The sequence below is a fragment of the Homo sapiens genome, chromosome 5 (genome assembly GCF_000001405.40).
Source record: "Homo sapiens chromosome 5, GRCh38.p14 Primary Assembly".
Lineage (NCBI taxonomy): Eukaryota > Metazoa > Chordata > Mammalia > Primates > Hominidae > Homo > Homo sapiens.
Window position 1 is genome coordinate 57,155,627 of NC_000005.10, and position 17,391 is coordinate 57,173,017.

Consider the following 17,391-nt stretch of genomic DNA (forward strand, 5'->3'; position numbering starts at 1 on the left):
TTATCTCTTGGGAGGCAGAGCAAGATGGGTGAACAGAAGCTTCCATTGATCTCTTCCCCATAGGAATACCAACTTCTACATTAGCAGTAGCCTGGCAGTACTCACCCTGTGCTTGTGGTAGTTATGGACATGGCAAGAGACCCCCATGCCTAGGGAAAGAGGAAGGATGCATAGGAAGGACTTTCTCTTGGGCCTTGGATGCCAGCTCAGCCATAGTAGAGCAAAGCATCAGGTAGATTCCTAAACTTCCTTCCTGAAGTTTCTAACTTCAGGCTCTAGCTCCCAGATGGCATCTCTGAACCCATCCAGGGACTGGGACAATTTGTTGCCCTGAAGTGAAGGACACAAGCCTGGCTGGCTTTGCTATCTGCTGATTGTAGAGCCCTGGGGTCTTGAGCGAACACGGCCAGTAGCCAGATAGTGGTTACAGCCTGCCTTGGGCAAGACCCAGTATTGTGCTAGCTTTAGGTCTGACCCAGTACAGTCCCAGTGGTGGTGGCTGCAGGGCTGCTTGTGTTACCCCAACCCCAGCTCCAGGCAGCTCAGCAAAGAGAGAGAAACTCTTTGTTCAGGGGAAAGTAAGGGGAGAGAACAAGAGTTTCTGCCTGGTAATCCAGAGAATTTTCAAAGATCTTATTCAAGATCACCAAGGGGGTACCTCTACAAGTCTGCAAGGATGACAGCATTACTGGGCTTGGGGTGTCCCCTAATATAGATATAGCTGCAATGACCAGAAACTTAGATAGTAATACCCAAGTCCCTTCAAATACCTGGAGAGAGTCCAGGCGTGGTGACTCACACCTGTAATCCCAGCACCTTGGGAGGCCGAAGTAGGTGGATCCCTTGAGCCCAGGAGTTTGAGACCAGCCTAGGCAACAAAGAAAGACCCTGTCTCTACCAAAAAATTTAAAAATGAGCTGGAGCATCTTTTAAGCCTCAGAGATCCAGGCTGCAGTGAACAGTGTTCATGCCACTGCACTCCAGCCTGGGTGACAGAAGGAGACCCTGTCTCAAGAAAAAGAAAGAAAGAAAGAAAAAAGGTCCAGGCATGGTGGCTCATGCCTGTAATCCGAGCACTCTGAGAGGCCAAGGTGGGCAGATCACCTGAGGTCAGGAGTTTGAGACCAGCCTGACCAACGTGGAGAAACCCCGTCTCTACTGAAAATACAAAATTAGCCTGGTGTGGTGACGCATGCCTGTAATCCCAGCTACTTGGGAGGCTGAGGCAGGAGAATCACTTGAACCTGGGAGGCGGAGGTTGCGGTGAGCCGAGATCGTGCCATTGCATTCTAGCCTGGGCAACAAGAGCGAAATTCCGTCTCAAAAAAAAAGAAAAGAAAAGAAAGGAAAAGTACACATATCCATGAAAACTGAAATTGGCGATCATAAATGTGGAATAAGGCCAATCAGCATGATTCTGGGATTTTTCTATAGAAAAACCCCCAAATGTAGAGAGATAATCCTCTGAAAACAAAACCATTATTAAGGAAATGGTTGAGAACAGTCATTTATAATAATGAGTATGTGACAGACTAGGGAGTTTTAGAACATCCAAATTCAGTCAAGATTTGGTTATGATGAGATGATAATCAGATTTAGTGATCTTCTCAATTCATTAGCATTTCTAAAAGAAAAATACTGTAAAGAGAGTTCTCATCAGCCTAGGAATTCCCCTGAAGTGAGGAAAGGTAAGGGGAAGGGATAAGCAGGAACTGAGACAGCCGGAGAGAAGTGGGAATGGATGACCTCACAGACCTACCCAATGCTGAGCGGTAGAATCTTCCCCTGAGGGTAATCTGGGAATTTGTGAGGGTGTTTTTGATTGTTTCAAAGATAGGGAATCTAAATTTAGTCAACTTTGTTTAATATATAAACACTAAGTGTTTCTGGCATGCCTTAAATGTACACTAATTTTCTAAGAAGGCAACTACTGAATAAACTGAAGAATCGTACGTCCTTTTATGGGAAACTTTACCAAGAAACATTCAGAGCTTCAGAAAATAATACCAGTAGGCTGAGGCAGGAGGATCACCTGAGGTCAGGAGTTCAAGACCAGCCTGGCCAACTTGGTGAAATCCCATGTTTACTAAAAATACAAAAACTAGCTGGGCATGGTGGTATGCGCCTGTAATCCCAGCTACTCGGGAGGCTGAGGTGGGAGAATCACTTGAACCTGTGTTAGAAATAGATAATGAGTGCTGCGAAGAAAAGTCAGCACAGAGACAAAAGATCTCTCAGCAAGGCAATTTTTACATTCTGCAGAAAGGGTACACCTGCCAGCAGTCTTGCCACAAGAGTACACCGAACAAAGGAAAAGCAGACATATTTATCCCTTACGCATATGGCTTATCCTTATTGCTGTGTCCTGCATCCGTTGGCTGGAGCCCAACCTCACAGTCTAAACTGATAACCGATTTGCTAACAACCTAAAACTTTTTTAAATAGGTAAAGGCAAGGGAGAACAAAGGAAAGGAAGAAGTTGCTTACGAAAGATTTAAAGAAGCAATAACAATTTCAAATAAAGAAGGGGCACAGGCTGTGAGCATGTCCAACAGCTGCATAGGATAGGGCTTAACAAAGAGTTATTAACACAAAGCAAGGAGGCTTGAAGAAAGTTAGTCTTTAAAAGAAACTATTATTTCTAACACTTATGATTTATTCTTTAACAAGAAGGGAAACTTTGAAGAGGAAACTTTTTACTTTCTACACCTGGGAGGCAGAGGCTGCACTGAGCTGAGATCGCACCACTGCATTTCAGCCTGGGCAACAAAAGCGAAACTTCATCTCAAAAAAAAAGAAAAGAATACCAGTAATAACATGTCAGCTAATTTTATCTAAGTCAGTACAATATACCTGCTTTTCTGCACTTGTAGCTTTTCAGTGATTCCACATATGTGTACAGACGTATGACCATCCCATTATGCATTCTAGTGAAACCATGACTAAACATTTACACATTGAACTGTGTGTTTTATCAATTACTTCCAGTTTATTTACTATAGTAAATTAATGAACACAAAATGTTAATTATTGAAAGAAAAGGGAGGTGTTAGATCTGTCGAGTTGGCCAGGCCCAGTGGTTCACACCTGTAATCCTAGCACTTTTGGAAGCTGAGACAGGAAGATCACTTGAGGTCAAGAGTTCAAGATCAGCCTGGCCAACATGGTGAAACCTCGTCTCTACTAAAAATACAAAAATTAGCCAACATGGTGGTGCATACTTGTAATCCCAGCTACTTGGGAGGCTGAGGCAAGAGAATAGCTTGAACCCAGGAGGTGAAGGTTGCAGTGAGCTGAGATCGAGCCACGGCACTCCAGCCTGGGTGACAGAGCAAGACTCCGTCTCAAAAAAAAAGATCTGTAGAGTTGAGACCCACTGGCCTAGAGTAACAGCTTTTCACTTTTGGACCAATAGACCCCTTTCAGGATAGAATGAAAATTAGTAACAATCCCATCTACACGTAAGCAGAAACCTTTGCATAAACAGTCTGTGCTTTATTATATGCAAGTGAGCCCACTCTTGGGGATAGTTGGAAGATGGGGTAATGAAGGAAGGCATGTAAATAGTTTGATAACAGAAAACTATTTCACTCTTTCTCAGTTTGTACATTTAAATCCTTTCTCTACAATGGTTCTTGTCTGTCCCAGGACAAAATCTTAAGCATGTTTTGTAGTTTTTTTACTGTCAATTTTAGACAAGAAAAAGGCCAGTCCAGTTGAATAGTCCACATTCCAAACTGTCACCAATTCAAGTTCTCCTTCCGTCAAGCTCAAATATATTTCATGTTTTATTGTTTGGAAGGGAGGAAGCAGAAATAAAGAACAGAAAGGTCTTATACAGTTATAATCTGGTATTGGTGTCCTCTAGATTGAACGGATGTTAAATGCTGGTTTTTTCCCATAGAGAGTTTCTCTAGATACTCTCCCACTTTGAGAATTTCTTTGTAGAGATAAAGTCTCACTATGTTACCCAGGCTGGAGTGTAGTGGCTATTCATAGATGGGATCCTGGTGCTCTACAGCCTCGAATTCCTGAGCTCAAGGGATATTCCTGCCTCAACCTCCCAAGTAGCTGTGGTGTCCCGGGTGTAGGACACCACACCCAACCACTTTGAGAATTTCTAATGTTAAAAACCTTTTTTTAGGCCGGCGCAGTGGCTTACCTGTAATCCCAGCACTTTGGGAGCCCAAGGTGGGCAGATCACGAGGTCAAGAGATTGAGACTATCCTGGCCAACATGGTGAAGCCCCATGTCTACTAAAAATACAAAAATTAGCTGGGCATGCTAGCGCATGCCTGTAGTCCCACCTACTCAGGAGGCTGAGGCAGGAGAATAGCTTGAACGTGGGAGACAGGGGTTGCGGTGAGTCGAGATCACGCCATTGCACTCCAGCCTGGGCAACAAGAGCAAAACTCCGTCTCAAAAACAAACAAAAAAACAAAAAAACTGTTTTTTATGTAAAGCAATGATTCCTCCAGCTGGCCATGTGTGGTCTTCCCTTGGCCCCTGGTTTCCAGGAGTTTCCAGTGACCCACCTCTCTGCTGGAGTCACCACATCCTTACAAGTGGTCTTCTTGGTGCAAATCCAGCTCCCTTACCCCAGTCCATATTTGGCTTTGGCTTATGAATAACTCACGCATCCTCTGCCCCACCAACCACTGGGTGCAGACCGTTCCCAACACAGTCCCCTCTCTTAGCTCTTTTGTCAGAAAAGCAGGTCAATACAGCCTTGCTGAGTCAGGTGCTGTGTGGCTTCCAAGCTTCAGGGGAAAATGTGAACCTAGCTCACTTGTTCTTCTAAAGCCCTTTAAACAGGAGGCTTGGCGGGGCACGGTGGCTCACGCCTGTAATCCCAGCACTTTGGGAGGCCGAGGCGGGAGGATCACGAGGTCAGGAAATCGAGACCATCCTGGCTAACACGGTGAAACCCCGTCTCTACGAAAAATACAAAAAATTAGCCGGGCGGGGTGGCGGGCGCCTATAGTCCCAGCTACTCGGGAGGCTGAGGCAGGAGAATGGCGTGAACCCGGGAGGCGGAGCTTGCAGTGAGCCGAGATCGCGCCACTGCACTCCAGCCTGGGCGACACAGCGAGACTCCATCTCAAAAACAACAACAACAACAACAACAACAACAACAACAACAATAATAATAATAAACAGGAGGCTTAGCTTGAGAAGGGGCTAAGCTCTAGCCTCCCCTTGCCCATTGCCCAGGGCATTTGGCTAGTGGGGAGAGCATCACCACACTAATACAGTGTGTGTTTGAGATTCATTTATTTCCTACTTAGAACCAAATTTTGACTTCTATAAACAGAGATGAGGCCATGGGTATCTTGCTCCTTGTTGCATCCTCAGCATTTAGCCCAGTCCCTAAGTCAGAGTAGGTTGTATATGACTAACTGTTTAATGGATGAATTACTATGCCATTAGTAACTAAGTTTTCTGCTTGTAAGTTAAAGCAAAAAACAACACAGAAAATTTTAAGTAATTTTTCTGTTTTCATTTTCTTTTTCTCATCCTCCAATTTTACTTTTTCATTCCAATTCTACTTTTCTCTTAACCTTTGATACACCAACTTTTTTTCCTCAAATTGTCTTTTTTCACCCATTCATTTTACACTTCTAGAAGTTTGGCTGGATTCACCTTTTGCAGTAGAAAAGAATGCTAACTGCAAGGAGACTTCCCAGAGTCTTCCTCAGATTGCCTTTCATTATGCTGACGTGAAAAGAGCTTCTGCTTTGGGTGATAGAGGAAAATTGGATAGGATAAATTGCTTCCTTTTCAATTATATTCCACAAAAAGGATCCTGCTTTTAAGGGAAACTTATTTATAGACAGAGCCAGTGATTCTGATTCTTCTTTGGGCTAGCCATGCTGTTGACACAAAAAGAAAAACACCAGAATTGTTACACTTACCTTATAGGTTGTTTCAGATGGCCAGTTTCTTTACCAAAAGCTGAAGGTCTTCCTCAATAGACTTTGGAGATCATGGATGAAAGAAAACACTGCATTGTATCAGTCAACTTACAGGACAAGGGCCCTGAATTCATAGGTGCTCCTTAGGATGAAAATGACAGAAACCCAATACAAACTAGTAAAGAAGTAAAGAAAATGTATTTACTTCCATTACTGTGAAGTTCAGAGATGATCACTGCTTCAGGAAGGAAGGACTACATTCAAAGACTAAAAAATATGTCAATGCTCTGATTATTTTTGTTTCTGAGAGCTACATGGCAGACAATAGAAATCCCAGATTTTGTCGACTGGTGATCCCACATTTACAACCTCTCAGTTTTAGTAACCCCAGTAGAAAGAGAATGTCTTTATGAGAGCATCTCTGGCAAAGTCCTACACAAGGTTATAATTGGTCAAGCTTGAGTCACATCCTCAAATTGACACTGTGGCCATGAAGATGGAATTTTTTCTTTTTTTTCTTTTTTTTTTTTTGAGATGGAGTTTTACTCTGTGGCCCAGGCTGGAGTGCAGTGGTGCAATCTCAGCTCACTGCAACATCTGCCTCCCCGGTTCAAGCAATTCTCCTGCCTCAGCCTCCCGAGTAGCTGGGATTACAGGTGTGTGCCACCATGTCTGGCTAATTTTTTGTATTTTTAGTAGAGATGGGATTTCACCATGCTGGCCAGGCTGGTCTCGAACTCTTGACCTCGTGATCCACCCTCCTCAGCCTCCCAAAGTGCTGTGATAACAGGAGTGAGCCAACATGCCCGGTCGAAGATGGTATATTATCCTTTTTTTTTTTTTTTGTTTTGAGATGGAGTCTTGCTTTGTTGCCCAGGCTGGAGTGCAGTGGCACTATCTCGGCTGACTGCAAGCTCCACCTCCCAGGTTCACGCCATTCTCCTGCCTCAGCCTCCCGAGAAGCTGGGACTACAGGTGCCCGCCACCACGCCCAGCTAATTTTTTCTGTATTTTTTGTAGAGACGGGGTTTCACCGTGTTAGCCAGGATGGTCTCGATCTCCTGACCTCGTGATCCGCCCGCCTTGGCCTCCCAAAGTGCTGGGATTACAGGCGTGAGCCACCGCGCCAGGCCCAAATATGTATTTCATAATATCGCAATGTCCCAAACTGAACTCATGATTTCCATCTTCCACCTAACTTGTTTTTGGGCCTCAGTTAACTCAGGGAATGCCATTAACAGCCAACCAAGTGCCTAAATTAGAAACTGGGTGTCATCGCTGACTTTTTTCTGCCTTGTCTTCACAAACATTGAAACATCACATTTTCTGAGTTCTATATCCTATTCTTGAATCTGTTTATGTTGCTCCACCACTCTCTGCTCATTCATTTATTCACTCATTGAATTCCCCATGAAACCTAGAGTGCAGTGGGTGAGGCAGATATTAAATAAATAATCTTATTTTTTATTTTTTATTTTTTTAAGGCAGAGCTTCCTCTTGTTGCCCAGGCTGGAGTGCAATGGCTTGATCCGCCTCCCAGGTTCAAGCAATTCTCCTGCCTCAGTCTCCAGAGTAGCTGGGATTACAGGCACCCAGAACCACACCCAGCTAAATTTTGTATTTTTAGTAGACACAGGGTTTCATCATGTTGGTCAGGCTGGTCTTGAACTCCTGACCTCTGGTGATCTGCCTGCCTCGGCCTCTCAAAGTGCTGGGATTACAGGTGTGAGACACTGAGCTCGGCAAAAATTTTTTTTTTTTGGAGACACAGCGTTGCTATGTTGGCCAAGCTGGTCTCTACTCCTGGCCTCAAGCAATCCTCCTGCCTTGACCTCCCAAAGTGCTGGGTTACAGGCGTGAGCCACCATGCCCAGCTAAATAAACTTATAAATTATTAATAACCTTAATTTATAAGTATGATCAGTGCAATAAGGGAGAGTAGGGGAACTAGGTAGGTAGTCAATACAGCTGTCTATAAAAGTGACATTTAGGCTGTGACTTAAAAGCTTGTAAGAGATGGAGACAGAAAGTGGGAGAGTACATGTGTTCCAGGCAGAAGAAACAGTTTGCGTAATGATTTTCATCAGGGAGAATCATGGTGTGTGGGAGAAACCAAAAGGAGGCCAGGGGAGTCCCAGCCACCATCATCTTTCACCTGGATTACTGCAATAGGTTTGTAGCTTCTTTCTCTTCCTGTAGCCTCATTTTCCTTATCTCTTTTTCAGGGGATCACAAGAAGGCTCTTTTGAAAGCATGAATCCAATCATGTCTTTCTCCTGCTTAAAAGACTTTCCAAAGCCTCCAGGATAAACATCTAATCTTCCTAGCACAGTGCTGAGGCCCTTGTGATGCGATCTCAACCCTCTCTGGGTTCCCAGCAGCCTGGGTGGTAACAGTCATTTCTCTTTGCATCTTTGGAAATGCCTTGCTGTGGCCTTTTTTTTTTTTTTTTTTTTTTTGACGGACTCTCACTCTGTTGCCCAGGCTGGAGTGCAGTGGCATAATCTTGGCTCGCTGTAACCTCCACCTCCTGGGTTCAAGTGATTCTCCTGACTCAGCCTCCAGAGTAGCTGGAATTACAAGAGTGCGTCACCATGCCCAGCTAATTTTTGTATTTTTAGTGGAGATCGGGTTTTGCCATGTTGGCCAGGCTGGTCTCCGACTCCTGATGTCAGGTGATACGCCTGCCTCGGCCTCCCAAAGTGCTGGCATTTCAGGCATGAGCCACTGTACCCGGCCCCTTTGTGGCTTATTTTTATCCTTGTGCTTCTAGTTGTGCAACAGCATCTACCTGGAAGGCCCCCGCCCCCTGGAATTCTGTTCAATTTACCAGACTCAGCTTTTAAAACTTTTTCTTGAAAAGCCATCCCATAGCACCCTGTACATGCCTCTAACACAGCACCTAGCAAAACGTCTTGAAATGTATTCACTTGACAAATATTTATTGAATGGCTACTATTGCTAGGTACTGTAGGGTACAGCAGTGAGTGTAGATATTTTGTCAGTTTTATCTCTCAGGTGGTAGGAATTTGGAGGCAGGAACTATATCCTAATCATTTGTGTATCCGCAACAGATAGCACAGCAACAACACTTAATATGAAATAAATCCAAAATGAACTGAGCTAGGATTCAAGCCTAGGTCTGTCTAACTCCAAAGCCCACACTCTTTCCACTGCTATGTGGAAACCAGATTAATCTGAGTCTATTAAAGTGAAAATAGTAGCATTTTAAGACAAACGGTAGGGTAGCATGGATCATATCTAATTCATTGAGCAGTGGGTCGCTTGAGCCCAGGAGTTCGAGATCAGTCTGGGCAACATGGTGAAACCCAGTCTTTATAAAAAATACAAAAGTCACTCACAGCCTGGGAAACAGAGTGAGACCCTGTCTCAAAATAATAACAATAATAAAAAAGTTTAATTTTGAAGTACAGTAGGACCTTACTTCTAACATATACTTTTGCTTGATTTCAAAACCACAATGAGATACCATCTCACACCAGTTAGAATGGTGATCATTACAAAGTCAGGAAACAACAGGTGCTGGAGAGGATGTGGAGAAATAGGAACACTTTTACACTATTGGTGGGACTGTAAACTAGTTCGACCATTGTGGAAGACAGTGTGGCGATTCCTCAAGGATCTAGAACTAGAAATACCATTTGACCTAGCCATCCCATTACTGAGTATATACCCAAAGGATTATAAATCATGCTGCTATAAAGACACATGCACACATATGTTTACTGAGGCACTATTCACAATAGCAAAGACTTGGAACCAAGCCAAATGTCCAACAATGATAGACTGGATTAAGAAAATGTGGCACATATACACCATGGAATACTATGCAGCCATAAAAAAGGATGAGTTCATGTCCTTTGTAGGGACATGGATGAAGCTGGAAACCATCATTCTCAGCAAACTATCGCAAGGATTTTTTTTGAGACAGGGTCTCACTTTGTCACCCAGGCCGGAGTGCAGAGGTACGATTTCCACTCACTGCCACTCACTGCAGCTTCCTTGACCTCCCAAGTTCAAGCAATCCTGCCTCTGTCCCCCAGTCCCCCAAGTAGCTGGGACTACAGGCACAGGCCGCCACACCCTGTTAATTTTTGTATTTTGTGTAAAGACAGGGTTTTGCCATGTTGCCCAGGCTGGTCTCGAACTCCTGAGCTGAAGCCATCCGCCAGCCTCAGCCTCCCAAAGTGCTGGGATTACAGGCATGAGCCACCACTCCTGGACTGAATTTTTTAAAAAGCTGATTAGTATGAAAACATGTCCTAGTGTCACTAAAGTTGAAGTGATCTATGACTACTCTAGTTCTGAAACTTAAAAGCTCAATACTAGACACCAAAATGAGAAATCTTTTTAAAAAAATGTTTCTTAGAATAGAGACGGGGTCTTATTATGTTGCCCAGGCTGGTCTCAAACTCCTAGGCTCAAGGGATTCTCCTGCCTCAGCCTCCCAAAGTGCTGGGATTGTAGGTGTGAGCCACCCAGCCCAGCCCAAATGAGAAATCTTTAGTTTTACTTCTATCTCCATTTCCTTTGATTGGCTTTTGACCATGTCATTTAGCTTGTCTGTATCCCTATATGCTCATTAGACAATTAGACTCAATGTTATGAGAAATATTAATTCACTTAAGTAGAGTGGTTGGGAGGGTTGCCACTTAGTTACACTGGGAAGCTATGGATTCAATCAAGTTTCTGAAAAATATGGTGGATTTCCTTTCCTAAAATGGGTAGCCAGAGTTAAAAGTGGAAGATGCTATGCAAAAATGAACTTGGAAAGAAACCTAAGAGGATAAATAAGAGGGAAATTCCACCACGTGTGTTTGCCCTTCTCTTCAATCATTCATTGGCCATACTTCATTCCTTTCACTCCAGAGTGTATTAGACAGAAACAGGAAGTTGGGGTTGCAGTGTATGTTGTCATATCTAGAGAACATAACAAACAGAATACTCCTAACCATGGTCCCACATGTTCATTTTACATAGGATCAGGAAGGAGCAAAGTAGCCCGGCACTGGACTGGGTTTCTTCTTGTGTCACCCAGTCTTTAACAAGATGCAGGGAATCAACTACACCTCCAGGGTTCCCTGTATTCTTTTCCATTTCTAGAGACAAAGGATACAACCTACTGAAATACAGCACTCTTTTGAAACACTACAAAATATATTCTTCACCTTACCTACAAGAATTTACATGTTTACATTCTTGCTGTAGGTTTAAAATAATAAATGTCATTTATAGAGGCAGCGTTTTGAAAGTCACATATTAGGAAAAATTTTTTTTTAATTTTGCTGGTAATTGTGATCATGCTGTGCGTTCTTGCATATACCTTCTAGTACAGAGGGAGAGGCACAGAGGTGGAAGTGCCAATTAGGGAAACTGGGCCACCCAAAACTGGAGCAGGGCGGAATACTTGTCAACCCATGCATCTCTTTGGATTAAGAAGCATGTAGCAAGTCTGGGTGTGGTAGGTCATGCCTTTAATTCTAGCACTTTGGGAGGCTGAGGCAGGAGGATTACTTGACCTCAGGAGTTTGAGACCAGCCTGGGCAACAAGACCCTGTCTCTACAAAAATAAATAAATAAATAAATAAATAAATAAAAGAAAAAATAAATTAAATTAAATAAAAAGAAGCATGTAGTAAATTCTCCAGCAGTTAATATAAAAACTCCTGAAGTGCTGGGTGCAGTGGCTCACACCTATTATCCAAGCCCTTTCGGAGGCCAAGGCAGGAGGACAGCATGAGGCCAGGAGTTTCAGACCAGCTTAGGTAACAGAGATCTACATCTCCAAAAGAAAGTAAGAATTTGGCCGGGTGTGGTGGCTCATGCCTGTAATTCCAGCACTTTGGGAGGCTGAGCGGGGAGGATTGCTTGAGCTCAGGAGTTTGAGACCAGCCTGGGAAATATGGAAAAACCCGTCTCTACCAAAAATACAAAAAAAATTCGCTGAGTGTGGTGGCATGTGCCTGTAGGCCCAGATATTCAGGAGACTGAGAAAGGAGGATCCCTTGAGCCTGGGAGGTGATGACTGCAGTGAGCTGAAATCACATGACTGCACTCCAGCCTGGGCAACAGAGTAAGACCCTGTCTCAAAATAATAAATAAATAAAAATAAAAAATAAAATAAAAATTTCAAAACTAAGCTGAACATGGTGACACCAACCCACCACCCCCAACCTGTTTTTTTTTGGTTTGTTTGTTTTTTGTGTGTTTTTTTAGACGAAGTCTCCCTCTGTTGCCCAGGCTGGAGTGCAGTGGCATGATCTCGGTTCACTGCAACCTCCGCCTCTCGGGTTCAAGTGATTCTCCTGCCTCAGCCTCCTGAGTAGCTGGGATTACAGGCATGCGCCACCATACCCGGCTAATTTTTGTATTTTTAGTAGAGACGGGGTTTCACCATGTTGGTCAGGCTGGTCTCGAACTCCTGACCTTGTGATCCACCCGCCTCCGCCTCCCAAAGTGCTGGGATTACAGGCGTGAGCCAATGCAGCTGGCTGTACCTTTTTTTCTTAAAATTTTTCTTAAAATTTTTTGTAGTCCCCTCAGAGTGGGCACAGATGTAGCTTTTTATCTTTCTATAATTAGAAAAGTAGGCCAGGAACGGTGGCTCACGCCTGTAATCCCAGCACTTTGATAGGACGTGATGGGTGGATCACCTGAGGTCAGGAGTTCGAGACCAGCCTGGCCAACATGGTAAAACCCGGTCTTTACCAAAAATACAAAAATTAGCCAGGCATGGTGGTAGATGCCTGTAATTCCAGCTACTCGGGAGGCTGAGGCAGGAGAATCGCTTGAATCCAGGAGGCAGAGGTTGCAGTGAACCCAGATCGCGTCCCTGCACTCCAGCCTGGCTGATAGCAAGACTCCATCTCAAACAAAAGTAATATATGCTCTTAGCAGGTATGAATAATAAAGATCTTCTATTAGTCTGCCACCTAGGAATAAGCATTGTTAACATTTTGTTTCTAGTCTGTCAAAATTTTTCCTTTGATTATACTTTTTTATTTGACAAAAATAGGATATTATACATACAGTTTTGTAATCTACCTCTCATTTTTCTTTTTTTCTTTCTTTTTTTTTTTTTTTTTTGAGACTGAGTCTCACTCTGTTGCCCAGGCTGGAATGCAGTGGCTCAATCTTGGCTCACTGCAACCTCTGTCTCCCGGGTTTAAGCTATTCTCCTGCCACAGCCTCCTGAGCAGCTGGTATTACAGGTGCACACCACCACACCCGGCTAATTTTTGTATTTTTAGTAGAGATGGGGTTTCACCATGTTGGTTAGGCTGGTCTTAAACTCCTGACCTTGTGATCTGCCTGCCTTGGCCTCCCAAAGTGCTGGGATTACAGGCGTGAGCCACCGCGCCCAGCCCATTTTTCTTAATAGTATGCTGTGAGCATTTTTTCATGTGACCATCTTTTAATAAATACCATTGTTAATGGCTTCATATTCCACTCTATGGATGTAATATAATTTACTTTGTCAATTTATTATAGACATTTAGGTTGTTTCTCTTTTTTTTGTGGTTTTCTTCTTTCATTTTCTTTTTTTTAAGGCTGGTCAAGTGAAGCAGTGGGAGTGGAGAAGGAACAAAGAAATCTCTAACCAGTTGTCATCAATTAGTTGAAAACATCACTGCACTCGGACCATCCTATTTTTTTGTGTGGGGTTTTAAAGAAGTTATCAATGAACAGCTTCATAAACTGTTGGACACCTTTCCTATTATTATTATCATTTATTTTTCTTTGAGATGGAGGCTTGCTCTGTTGCCCAGGTTGGAGTGCAATGGTGTGATCTCGGCTCACTGCAACCTCTGCTGCCTGGGTTCAAGCGATTCTCCTGCCTCAGCCTCCCAAGTAGCTGGGATTACAGGTGCCCACCACCACACCTGGTTAATTTTTGTAGTTTTATTTATTTTTATTTTATTGTTGTTTTTTTTGAGACGGAGTCTCACTCTTGTTGCCCAGGCTGGAGTGCAATGGCTTGATCTCGGCTCACCGCAACCTCCACCTCCAGGGTTCAAGCGATTCTCCTGCCTCAGCCTCCCAAGTAGCTGGGATGACAGGCGCCCACCACCACGCCTGGCTAATTTTTTGTATTTTTAGTAGAGACGGGGTTTCACCATGTTGGCCAGGCTGGTCTTGAACTCCTGACCTAAACTGATCCACCTGGCTCGGCCTCCCAAAATGCTGGTATTACAGGCGTGAGCCACCACGCCCAGCCTAATTTTTGCAGTTTTAGTAGAGATGGGGTTTCACCATCTTGGTCAGGCTGGTCTCCAACTCCTGACCTTGTGATCCACCCGCCTCGGCCTCCCAAAGTGCTGGGATTACAGGCGTGAGCCACAGTGCCTGGCCTCCTATTATTTTATTAAAATAAATTCCAAGGAGTAAGACAACTGCTTAAAGGGTGTCTTAAAGGCTTTGACATTTTTATGAAAGCCAAACTGTCTTCCAGAAAGCCTTGCACATATCAAGAGTTTCATTCTTGATATGGTTAATGCAAATAAATGCCTATTCCTTATATCCTTTTTCTTTTTTTTTTTTTGAGGCAGGGTTTCCCTCCTATTGCCCAGGCTGGAGTGCAGTGGCCCAATCTCGGCTCACTGCAATCTCCATCTCCCGGGTTCAAGCGATTCTCCTGCTTCAACCTCCGGAGTAGCTGGGATTACAAGCACCCGCCACCATGCCCGGCTAATTTTGTATTTTCAGTAGAGACGGAATTTCACCATGCTGGCAGGATGGTCTCGAACTCCTGACCTCAAACGATCCACCCACCTTGGCCTCCCCAAAGTGTTGGGATTACAGGCGTGAGCCACTGCGCCCGGCCAATTCCTTATCCTCATCCAGGTTTTTGGTCTTTTAAAATCTTTGTCAATCTGCTATTTGAAAGTGGTATATTACTGTTTAAGTTTTTCTGATTTCTAGTGAGGTGCGATAATTTTTCATATAATTATTAAATCCCCCCATATGTTATGTATGTATACACACACACACCCGGCTAGCTTGTTCATGCCCTTGACTTTTTATTTTTTATTTTTTTGAGACGGAGTCTTGCTCTGCTGCCCAGGCTGGAGTGCAGCTGCACTCGGCTCACTGCAACCTTCGCTTCCCAGGTTCAAGCAATTCTCCTGCCTCAGCCTCCCAAGTAGCTGGGATTACAGGCGCCCACCTCCATGCCCAGCTAATTTTTTGTATTTTGTTTTTCTCTGTCGCCCAGGCTGGAGTGCAATGCCAGGTTGGAGTGCAATGGCGTGATCTCAGCTCACGGCAACCTCCACCTTCCGGGTTCAAGTGATTCTCCTCCGTCAGCCTCCCAAGTAGCTGGGATTACAGGCGCTCCCCACCAAGCCTGGCTAATTTTGTATTTTTAGTAGAGACGGGGTTTCGCCAATGTTGTGCAGGCTGGTCTTGAACTCCTGACCTCAAGTGATCAACCCGCCTAGGCCTGCCAAAGTGCTGGGATTACAGGAATGAGCCACTGCATCCGGCCTAATTTTTTGTATTTTTAGTAGAGACGGGGTTTCACCATGCTGGCCAGGCTGGTCTCAAACTCCTAACCTCAAATGATCCGCCCGCCTGGGTCTCCCAAAGTGCTGGGATTACAGGCGCGCACCACCACGCCTGGCTAATTTTTGTGTTTTTACTAGCGATGGGGTTTCACCATGTTGGTCAAGCTAGCCTTGAACCCCTCACCTCAGGTGAGCCACCAGCCTCAGCCTCCCAAAGTGCTGGGATTAGAGGCGTGAGCCAGAGCCACCACGCCCGGCCTAATTTTGTATACATATATTTTTTGCTTTGTTTTTGTTTTTTGAGACGGAGTCTCGCTCTGTCGCCCAGGCTGGAGTGCAGTGGAGAGATCTCGGCTCACTGCAAGCTCCGCCTCCCGGGTTCACGCCATTCTCCTGCCTCAACCTCCCGAGTAGATGGGACTACAGACGCCCGCCACCACGCCCGGCTAATTTTTTTTTGTATTTTTAGTAGAGACGGGTTTCACCGTGTTAGCCAGGATGGTCTCGATTTCCTAACCTCGTGATCCGCCCGCCTCAGCCTCCCAAAGTACTGAGATTACAGGCGTGAGCCACCGCGCCCAGCCTAATTTTGTTATTTTTAGTAGAGACGGGGTTTCTCCAAGTTGTTCAGGCTGGTCTAGAACTCGCGACCTCAGGTGATCCGCCCGCCTCGGCCTCCCAAAGTGCTGGGATTACAGGCGTGAGCCACCGCGCCCGGGGCTAAACTTTTTTTTTTGAGACAGGGTCTCACTCTGTCGCCCAGACTTGAGTGCAGTGGTGCAATCTTGGCTCACTGCAACTTCTCCCTCCTGGGTTCAAGCGATTCTCATACCTCACCCTCCCTAGTAACTGGGACTATGGGTGCCCGCCACCACGCCCAGCTAATATTTGTATTTTTAGTAGAGAGGGGGTTTCCGCTGTGTTGGTCACCCGACCTCAGGTGATCCTCCAGCCTCAGCCTTCTGAAGTGTTGGGATTACAGGCGTGAGTCACCGCGACTGGTCCGCCCTTCACTTTTTAAAAGAGTGGGTGTTATCTTTTTCTTAATAATTTGTAAGAGCTCTTTATATTTTCTTATGCAAATAAAACATACGCTAAGGATGGTAATCGAATATAAATATTAACTTGCTTGTGATTTACTACAATTGTTTCTCTGTTTCACTACCAGTTGTTCGACTTTATAGTGTCTTCTGTCACATGAAAGGCACAAATTGTGTGTCTAAGTTATCAGTTTTATCCTTGGGTTTTTTTTTTTGTTTCCTTTATTTTTTCTTGGTTTGATATCATGCTTACACATAAAAGCACGAGCAGGTCCTCTCCCGACACATAAGTTGCTTATACGGAAACAATGTGGTGTAGAGAAAAGAAAGTGGATCAAGCCCCTAATAGACTTGAGTTTAAATGTGGTACAGCCAAGTTGTGGCGCCCAACTTCCATATTCTGTAACGTTAAACACGTCAATCTCATCCTGTTTCCTTATCTGCAAAATAGTACCCACCCCAGAGGGTGATACAAGCATTAAAATGCCCGGCACGGGCAAGGCATCCAGCAAGTGTTAATTCCCTTTCCTCTGCCCCGCAGAGGGGCATTATTAATTGCTTAAAGTGGCCAACTCCCGATAAAGATTAAAACAGAAGGTTGGGGACGGTAAATTTTGGTGAGTTTACGTTCCACCCGTTTTTCAGGTATCTTCTAGAAACATTCCATTAAACTACAAACCCCATAATGCATGTACAACTACCATAAAATTTCTACGTTATGAAGTCCTTGTGGCTTAGGGGAGGGCGAACAGCCAAATATCTTTATTTTCCAGACTTTCCCTCTTTGAGACAACCTCTCCCCACCTTCCCTCTAAACAAATGTGATTTTTCTTTTTCATAGAATGCCAACTTCCCAGGTGTTAAAGTGAGGCTACGGTTATAAGGCGAAAAGGTGTCACAATTAGAGAA

At 44.4% G+C, this 17,391-nt stretch overlaps 1 annotated feature.

Annotated features, from left to right (window-relative positions):
• Positions 17,212–17,261: an enhancer, noted in NCBI's record as "active region_22577". NCBI's record gives its function as "activates an Ori minimal core promoter by ATAC-STARR-seq in GM12878 lymphoblastoid cells {active_cell/tissue: GM12878}" and the evidence as "EXISTENCE:reporter gene assay evidence [ECO:0000049][PMID:35858748]".